At 38.6% G+C, this 9800-nt stretch overlaps 1 pseudogene; it reads left to right on the top strand.

Annotated features, from left to right (window-relative positions):
• OR2AS1P (olfactory receptor family 2 subfamily AS member 1 pseudogene) lies at window positions 7009-7490 on the top strand (annotated as a pseudogene).

The following is a 9800-nucleotide window of genomic DNA, read 5'->3' as shown; positions in this document are numbered from 1 at the left end:
TATTTTATGACTATAATATAAAGATTCTGTAGTGCTTTGGAAAAATATGAGAGAACTAGTTTTTAATATTTTTCCTGAACTCAGACAATATAAAATGCATACTCTAACTTTGTATGAATTAAAGAGCATTTGTCAACTCTCAATTTGCTGGATTATAATTATAGACACATTTGATGGTTATCTTTAAAACATCCTTGTGAAAGGAAATGTAGCAAAATTTCATGAAAAATGATTTTTGTAGAGCTTTATTGTGCTAAAAATTGTTAGCTGCCTAAAATAACCTGTTATAATATGTTGGTAAGTCTCGTGGTAACTACAAAGCAAAAACCTGTAGTAGACATACAAAAATTTTTAAAAAACAAGGAATCAATGCATACCACTAGAAAAAACATCATTTAACCTTAAAAGAAGATAGTAAGAATGGAAGAAAAGAACAAAGTCTCTAGAAAACAACTGGAAAACTAACAAAATTGTAGCATTAAGTCCCTATGTATCAAAAATTATCTTAAATGTAAATGTATTAAATTATCCAATCAAAAGATATCTGGTGGCAGAATGTATAAAAAATGCCAACTACAACAGGTTACTTTAACCTGCAAGGACATATGCAGACGAAGTGAAGTGGTTGAAAAGGATATCCCATGCAAGTCGTAACCAGAAAAGAGCAGGAGTAGCTATGCTTATATCAGATAAAATAGACTGAAGTCCAGAACTGTAGAAAGAGACAAAGAAGATCATATATAATGATTAAAAAGTCAATTCAACAAAAAGTATATAATAATTGTGACTATGTATGAAACATTAACCTAAATACAATAAAGTATTAATAGATCTAAGGGGATAGATAGCAATAAAATAATACTAAGAAACTTCAACACCCCTCTTTCAGCCATGGAAAGACTATCCAGACAGGAGGTAAACAATGAAATAACAGCTTCAAGTTGCACTCTAGGGCAATGGACCTAAAAAGCATATGCAAAACATTTTATTCAGTAGCTGCAGAATACACATTATACTCGATTGCACATGAAACATTTTCTAGGTTAGATCACATGTTTGACCACAAAAAAGTCTTAAAGATAAGAAGTTCAAAATAATATCAATCATCTTTTCTGATCACAGCAGTTTATAAACGAATGCAAGAATTCTCAGAAAGTTTACAAATAAATGGTGATTAAATAATATGCTCCTAAACAATAGATGGGTCAATGAAAAAATTAAAAGGGAAAATAAAAGGTTGTTTGAGACAAATAAAAATGGAAAACTCAACATACCAAAACCTACAGGACACAGCAAAAGCAGTTCAAAGAGGAAGTTTATAGTTTATAGCAATGAATGGCTACATCAATAAAGAAGAAAGACTTCAAATAAGGAAAGGTAATATTGTACCTTAATTAACTAGAAAAACAAGAATAAGCTAAACTCAAAATTAGTAGATACATTAATATTGATTAGAGGAGAAATAAAAAAATGATAAAAACAATGCAAAACATCAGATGAGTTGTTTTGTGAAAAAACAAAATAAACTAGACTAAGAAGGTTCAAATCAGAAATTTACAAAGGAAATATTACAACTGAGGCCACAGAAATACAAAAGATTATGAAAGTATAATGAATAATTGCATGTCAAAAATTAGATAAGCTGGAAGACATGAATTGACTGATACATAAATCCTACGATAGTAAATCTTAGCAAACCAATAATGAATAATGCAGTGAAGTAGTAATAAAAGTCTCCCACCAGAAAAAAAAAAAAGCCCAGGACAATATGGACTCATTGCAAAATTCTATCAAAAATTTAAAGAACTAATACCAATTATTCTCAAACACTTCCAAAAAATTGAAGAAGTGGGAATACTTCCAAATTCATTATACAAGGCCAGAATTATCCTAATACCAAAGCCAGAGAAGGACATGGGAATGAAAAAGGAACTACAGGTCAATATCATTTGGGAACATGGATGTAAAATTCCTCAAAAAATGCTAGCAAACTGAATTTAAAAGCACATTTCAAAAAGCATTCATCATGATAAAATGGGATTCATCCCAGGGATGCAAGGATGCTTCAACAGATGCCAATTAATAAACATCACATAGCACATTAACAGAATGAATGATACAATTTTATGATTATTTAGGTGGAGAGAAGCATTTGACAAAATTCCAAAACTCTCAACAAATTAGGTATACAAGGAATGTATCTCACCATAACAAAGGCCATATATGATAAGCCTACAGCTGACATAATACTTAATGATGAAATGTTGAAAGCTTTTTCTCTAAGATCCAGCAAAAGACCAGAACGGTCACTCTTGCCACTTTTATGTAACATAGCACTGAAAGTCCCAGCTAAAGCAATTAGGGAAGAAAAATAAATAGAAATGTAAATAGGAAAGGAAGAAGTGACATGTTTCTGTTTGTTAATAAAGTAATATTACATATAAAAAAACATAAAGCCTTCAACAAAAACTATTCCCTAACAAATTCAGGAAAGTTTCAGGAAATCAACAGACAGAAATTGGAGTTTCTATACTCTAACAGCAAACTGTATCTTTAAAAAGTTAAGAAAGACTCATAGAGAGGAGTTATAGCAACAAGATAGATGAATAGAAGATCCTCCAGCATCATTCATCCACACCCACAAAAATAGAACTGGAAACTATTCAAAAACAATAACATCCTGAATTCCCATGAATTCAGGAGAGAAAAAAGAGAAGCTGTGTCTGGTCTTAGAGCAATTAGGTAAAAGAAGGAAACAAAGGCCTCCAAATTGGAAAGAAGGAACTGAAATTTTCCCTGTTTACAGATGACATGGTCATATATTAAAAAAATCCTAACGACACCAGCAAAAACTGTGAGAACTGATAAATGAATTCAGTAAATTTGCAAGATACAAAATCAACATACAAAATTAGCATTTATATAGGCCAACAGTGAGCAATCTGAAAGAGAAATAAGGCAATCCCATTTACAAAAACTAAAGTAAATACAAAATAACTAGGAATAAATTTAGCCAAAGTAAAAGATCTCTTCAAGAAAAACTATACAACTCTAATGAAAGAAATTGAAGAGATCACAAATAAATGGAAAGATTCCCCATGTTCGTGGATTAGAAGAATTGATATCATTAAAATGTCCATCTACCAAAAGAGAGCTACAGAATTAAAGCAATCACTATCCGAATACAAAAGATATTCTTCAGAGATAGAAAAAAACAATCCTAAAGTTCATATGGAAGCAAAAAAGACTCCAAATAGCCAATGCAATTCTGAGCAAAATGAATGAATATGTAGGCATCATACTACCCGATATACTACAAGCTATTAAACATCAAAAGAGAATGGTACTGGCATAAAAGCAGACACACAAACAGAAGAGAACCCCTGAGAGCCCAGATATAAATTCACTCATTTATAGTCAACTGATGTTTGACCAAGTTGAAAAGAACATACACCAAGAAAAGCACTACTTCCTCAATAAATGGTGATGCAAAAAATGCATATCCAAATACAGAATGAAACTAGACACTTATTTCACTATTTTAAACTCAAATTGGATTAAAGACTTTAATATCAGATCTTAAACTGTAAAACTTCTGGTAGAAAACACAGGCAGAATGCATCATCACTACATTGATCTGGGCAAGAATTTTTAAAGTAGAACCTCAAAATCACAGGGAAAAAATAAAAAATTAAAAAATGAGATTACATCATACTGAAAGGTTCTGCACAATAACGAAAACAATTCACAGAGTGAATAGATAACATACGAGTGGGAGAAAAGATTTGCCAACAATGCATTTGACAAGGGGTTCATATCCAGAATATATAAAGAACTCAAGTAACTGAGTACCAAAATTATCTCACAAATAATTTGATTTTAAAAATGGGCAAAAGACATCGAAAAACATATTTCAAAAGAAGACATACAAATGGCTAGCACGTATATGACAAAGTGCTCAACATCACTAATCATCAGGGAAAGGCAAACTGCAATGTCTTGGATGGGCATGGTATCTTTCACTTTGAAACTGGAGTCCTGCAGGCCATTTTGAATATTGTCCATGTTTCCTAACACACCCAAGTTGGCAGAAGACCCCCTATTTAGGGCTAATACCTGCTGTTTATGCTCAAATAGGCCCAGGCAATACAAGTTTTGGCTATGACTCCAGTTATGTATATTTGTGGAAGAAACAATAGATGGGTATAAAATAAAGTATGGTAGAGTGAAATCATCATACCTGTACAGGAATGTAAATTTGGAGGTCATTTTTCTTATCAGGACACATCACACGGGGAATGTGTTTCTTTAGTAAATGTTGTGTACTCCTTTAGATATATTTATAACAAACCAATGATGCATGGCATCAGGATAAGTTTAGAAATAATTACTAAATGAGATTCCATAGGGTAGAGACAAGAAATTAGATTTTGCCTATGTTCAAGTGGGAGAATACCCATTTCAAATACCCAAGATTATAGAAGAAGGAATGAAAAGGTTTCAACTTTAAGCTGCTGAGGGAAGCTTGAAAAGAATTTAGTCTGACATTTGATATTCTTTATAACCATGTGACTAATTACTCAGATGGTACTTAGGAATTAAGAAAAGTCATTAACCTACAAAAAGCCCGAAGTATAAGAAAACACAGTTAAAGGTGTGTTTTTTAATTGTCTTTGCTGGATTCGGTTAGTTCAATAGCCTTGTCTTCAAGCTCTGAACTTGTTTCTTCTACTTGTTTGATTCTATTTCTGAGATTTTCCAGTGTATTTTGCATTTTTCTAGTGTGTTCTTGATTTCCAGCAGTTGTGATTGTTTTTTATTTATGCTATCTGTTTCTCCGGAGATTTTTCCATTCATGTCCTGTAACACATTTTTAAATTTAAGTTGGTATTCACCTTTCTCTGGTACTTTGTTGAGTAGCTTAATAATTGACCTTCTTAATTCTTTTTCTGGCAATTCAGAAATTTCTCCTTTGTTTGAATCCATTGCTGGTGAGCTAGTGTGATCTTTTGGGGGTGTCAGAAAATCTTGTTTTGTCATATTTTCAGAATGGTTTTCCTGGATTTTTCTCATTTGGGTAGACTATGTGAGAGGGAAGTTCTGGGGCTAAAGGGCTGCTGTTGAGATTCTTTTGTCCCATGGGGTGCTCCCTTGATGTGGTGCTCTACCCCTTCTTCTAGGGATGGGGGTTCCTGAGAAACAAAGTGCAGAGATTGTTATTTCTCTTCCACATCTAACCACCCAGCGAAGCTACTGTGCTCTGGTACTGGCTGGTACCGGAGAGTGTCTGCAAAGAGTCTTGTGGTATGATCTGTCTTCAGGTCTCTCAGCCATGGATACCAGCACATGCTGTGGTGGAGGGAGCAGGGGAGTGAAGTGGACTCTGTGAGGGTCCTTGGCTGTATTTTTGATAAGTTTGCTGGTTGGTCTCCAGCCAGCAGTTGATTCTTTCAAGAGTTGCATCAGCTGCAGTAGTGTAGGGAAGATACGAGCTTGCCTTAGGGTTACCTGGATAAGTATCCAGATTTCTCAGGCAATGGGCCGGGCCTCAGAGCTCCCATGAGATTATGTCCTTTGTCTTTGGCTCCCAGGGTGGGTAGAGAAAGGCCAAGAGGTGGGGGCAGTGTTAGGCGTGTCTGAGCTGAGACTCTCCTTGGGCGGGGCTTGCTGTGTGGCTGCTGTGTGGGATTGGGGTGTGGTCCTCAGACTGATGGAGTTATGTTTCCACGGGGATTATGAGTGCCTCTGCTGGGTCATGCAGGTCACCAGAGAAGGGGGGGAACGGGCAGTTACATGCTTCACTCAGCTCCCAGGCAGCCCAAAAGGCCAGTCTCACTCCCACCTTGTGCCCCCAGTAGCACTGAGTTTTTTCCAGGCAGCTGGTGAGCAGGGCTGAGAACTTGCCCCAGGCTACAAGCCCCTCATGAAGAAAGCAAGCAGGGCTTTTAGGTTTCATGCCTCTCTGCCTGCCTCAGCTTCTGAGCTTGTATCTGCACTCCCAGTTTGCCCCCTCCCCCAGGTTCTGTCCAGGAAGCTTCACGTTAGTCAAGATTATTACAAAATTCATCTGAAAGCTTGCTTCTCCTTGTAGTCTTTCCCCAATTCCACTGGCAGCCCTCCCAAAGGACCCCTGCAAGACAAAGTCCGAAATGGTTTCCCACAGGGCTCTTCTTGTTGTTTCCTCTACTCGAATATTTTGCTTGGCTCTCTAAATTCCTCTTAGCTCCGCGTAAGATTAAATCCTTTTCCCACCATGTGGACCGTCAGGTTCCCCAGTGAGGATCTGTGTTTGGGGGTGGAGCATCCCCCTTTTACACTTTCACACATTTTGGCACTCAGTTTTTGGCACGGAGCCTACAGTGGCCGCCACCTCCTTCAAAGGGTCTTTGGATTCTCTTGGCTTTCCTGGTATGTCCTATGGTAGTTCTTGGAGCAAAAGTTCACAGCGTGAATCTCCACATGCTGCTCTGTCCATCCAAGTGGGAGCTGCACGTTAGTCCTGCCTCCTATCTGCCATCTTCCTCTTCTGGAGTCCACGAAAAGGATTATAAACAAACTATTTTGTTGGGAGTAATAATGTGGTCCTGGCCTAGTGTGAAGTGAAGCTCACTCCAGGCCACTTCTCTCAAGCTGTGTTAATTTGTACCCTTCAGCAGTTTATGAGAGGTTCATTTCCATAGGCCCCCACATCTACAACTAGGGGATTTCATATATCTAATCTGAGCAGGGACATTGGTTCTACATGGAGACAGTCCAGAGATGAGCTGTGCTTGAGGCCTCACCTGTAGGTGGTAGGGTCTAGACCGGGAGACAGGCATTGGCCAACAGAAAGTAAAGGACACAAAGTGATGTCCTTCTCCACTCACTTCAGCTTTTCTTCAACACTATTTCAGATGCTTCCTTCCTGGCTTAGCTCTTCATTCAAGGTGAGATATTATGGGAACAGGATTGTGGGGGCAGGTGGCCCCAGGTATGGAGACTAAGGGGAGGTGTACATGGCAAGAGAGAAGCCAGAATATGGGGATGAGAAAGGAACAAGCTGTCTGTGGTAGTCATCCATGATTGAGATGATGTGTGGACCCTGAGTCAGACTACCTGGTTCAAATGCAGGCTCTCTACTTTTTACCCATTTGATCTTGGCCTGTGGCTCTCTACTTCTTATCCATTTCATCTTGGACTTGTGGCCTCTCATACCTCATCTTCCTTACAGTCCTCCATATGAAATCCCCCTAAAGTAGGAACAAAGCTTTGGCCAACTGCTCCTCCCATCTTTCCGTGGTCTTTACTTAGGAACTGTGTGTTTAATATACGTGACACAGGGTTTCTCCCACATCCCTGAGCAGAAACAAGCTGTGTCTGTATTTTGCACTGTACTCACCCCCATGCTAAACCCCCTCATCTACATCCTGAGAAACAAGGATGTGGTGGGGCTCTTCAGAAAGTTCTGGGAACACATCAAGTCTCTAAACAGAACACATAAATATCAATGTGGAAAACAACGGTAGAGGACCAAGATGCAAAGACTTCAGGAGCATCTCATTTTCCAGCATGAGGAATGTTGCTCCATCGTATGAGAAAACCATTTGGTTCAATTTAATTTGAAATATTAATTTGCTCATAAAAAGCTTAAGGGCTGGGTGCGGGGGCTCATGCCTGTAATCCCAGCACTTTGAGAGGTCTAGGCTGGCAGATCATTTAAGGTCAGGAGTTTGAAACCAGCCTGGCCAACATCATGAAGCCCTTTCTCTACTAAAAATAGAAAACTTAGCCAGGCACGGTGGTAGGTACCTGCAACCCCAGCTACTTGGGAGGCTGATGTGGGAGAATCACTTGAGCCCGGGAGGCGGAGGTTGCAGTGAGCAGAGATCTCACCACTGCACTGCAGCCTGGGACACAGAGCAAGACTCTGTCTCAAAAATAAATAAATAAATAAATAAATAATGAAAAGCTTAAGAACTTTTTATCTAGTTTCTAACCATTGTTTCAAAATGGCTGAACTCAACTGTGTTTCTCCTTGAAGCTAGATGATAAGCATAGACAAAGTTCCAGTCTTCTCTCTTTTTACCTGCTTTAGCTATTTCTCAGTATCCTTTGAAGCTCAACTCTGTCCAGGTATTGCTAATCTCCATTGTTGTAAGCATCAGCTTCCTAGGAAAGACAAAAGTGTGATTTCTCAGGGGCAATAATAACACAATAGATTTTCTTTTCTCTTGATTGCTCTGGAAATCCCAACATGTTGGTTCTATTCTCTTATCCTGTCTCGGGTGGAAACTTCTGGTGATTCTCAGATAAGCAATAACTCAGCTGATATATAATACAAGAAGATTTTCTCTTCTATAATAAATACAGCAAGCCTTGAGTAATAGTACGTAATCTGTGGGTGAGCAAGGAACAATAGGCTTCTCTCTTGACTTTGTAAGTTCCTCCCATTCTCACTAGCTCTAGATGCTTACTCTTCCTTGAGTCAGTGCAGGTGGAACTCAGGGGATAGAGTGGAAGTAGGGGCTAGAAAAGCCCTACCTACCTTCCACCAATACAGAGAAGCTTCCCTTCAATTTTTGGTGGTTTGATTATAATATGTCTTAGGGGTAGTTTTGTTTGGATTGAATCTGATTGGTTACTTTTTACCTCACTGTACCTGGTTATTTATATCTTTTTCCAGGTTTGAAAAGTTTTCTATTATTTCTTCATATAAGCTTTCTACTCCTTTATCATTTCAACTCCCTTATCTCCAATGACTCAAAAATTTGCTGTTTTGTTGCTGTCCAGTAAATCTCATGTTTCCTTTATTATTTTTCATTCTTTTCTCTTCTCTATTTTCATATAACCTGTATTTGAGTTCACAGATTCATTGGCTTGATCCATTCTGCTGTTGATGGTCTCAACTGCAGTTTACATTTTGTTCATTATATTTTGCAGCTTTAGAATTTGTTTGATTTTTAAGTTATTCCAATATTTGCTAAGTTTATCATTGTGGTCATATTATTTTTATCGTTTGTTTGAATAGTTTCTGTGTATTTTCTTGAAGTTTGCTGAGCTTCCCTAAGACTGTTATTTCAAATGCTTTGTCAGGTAGTTTATGCATCTCCATTTGTTTGCTTGGTGATGTATGCTTCCTTGATTTCTCTTGCGTCTGCAGTCATGCATCTAATATAATAGGTACTTATTCCAGTCTTTGCAGACTTGTTTTATCCTGAAACATTCTTCAATAGTAAGCCTGTCTAGAGATTCTGAGCAGGTTGTCTGGTGTGGTCCCTAAGCTCTAGTTTGCTGTGGTGGGGGCAGCCCTAGGTGGTGCCCTAAGCCTGGGACTGCCACGACTGGTGCAGTGCAGTGCTGTAATCCCATGGCCACTGGAACTGGTGTGGGTCCCAGATGATATCCTGTGGCCACTGGGGCTGGTGCAGCACTGATGCAAGTCTGAAGCCCATGTTCACTGAGGCCTGCCTGCCAGTGGATACTTTCCAGAGCTTAAGGCCACTCTGGGTGGGTGGCAGTGATGATGACTGCAAATTAATTCTGCTTTGCATGGGCTGCAGGTTTCTGCCTAGTGTTGGTGTAGATCTGGAGGCTCGGTCTTTGTGTACTGGCCTGGAGTCAGTGGTTGTGGGGGCTGCCTGGTTTTCAGTTCTTCTGTGGTGGGCCTAGTGTTGGGCACCAAGACCAAGTCCCACACTTACTTCCGTTTTTATTCTCCAAGTGTTTGGTATTTCTCCCTGCACTGTGCTGTCTGAGGTTGGGGATAAAAAATGCAGGTAATCAAAACTCTCCTTCCTGCCCTCTTCAATGCTTCTAATCTT

Source organism: Homo sapiens, chromosome 1, assembly GCF_000001405.40.
Source record: "Homo sapiens chromosome 1, GRCh38.p14 Primary Assembly".
Classification (NCBI taxonomy): Eukaryota; Metazoa; Chordata; class Mammalia; order Primates; family Hominidae; genus Homo; species Homo sapiens.
Note: the sequence above shows the minus strand (reverse complement) of the source record. Positions and strands in the feature narration are given on the sequence as shown.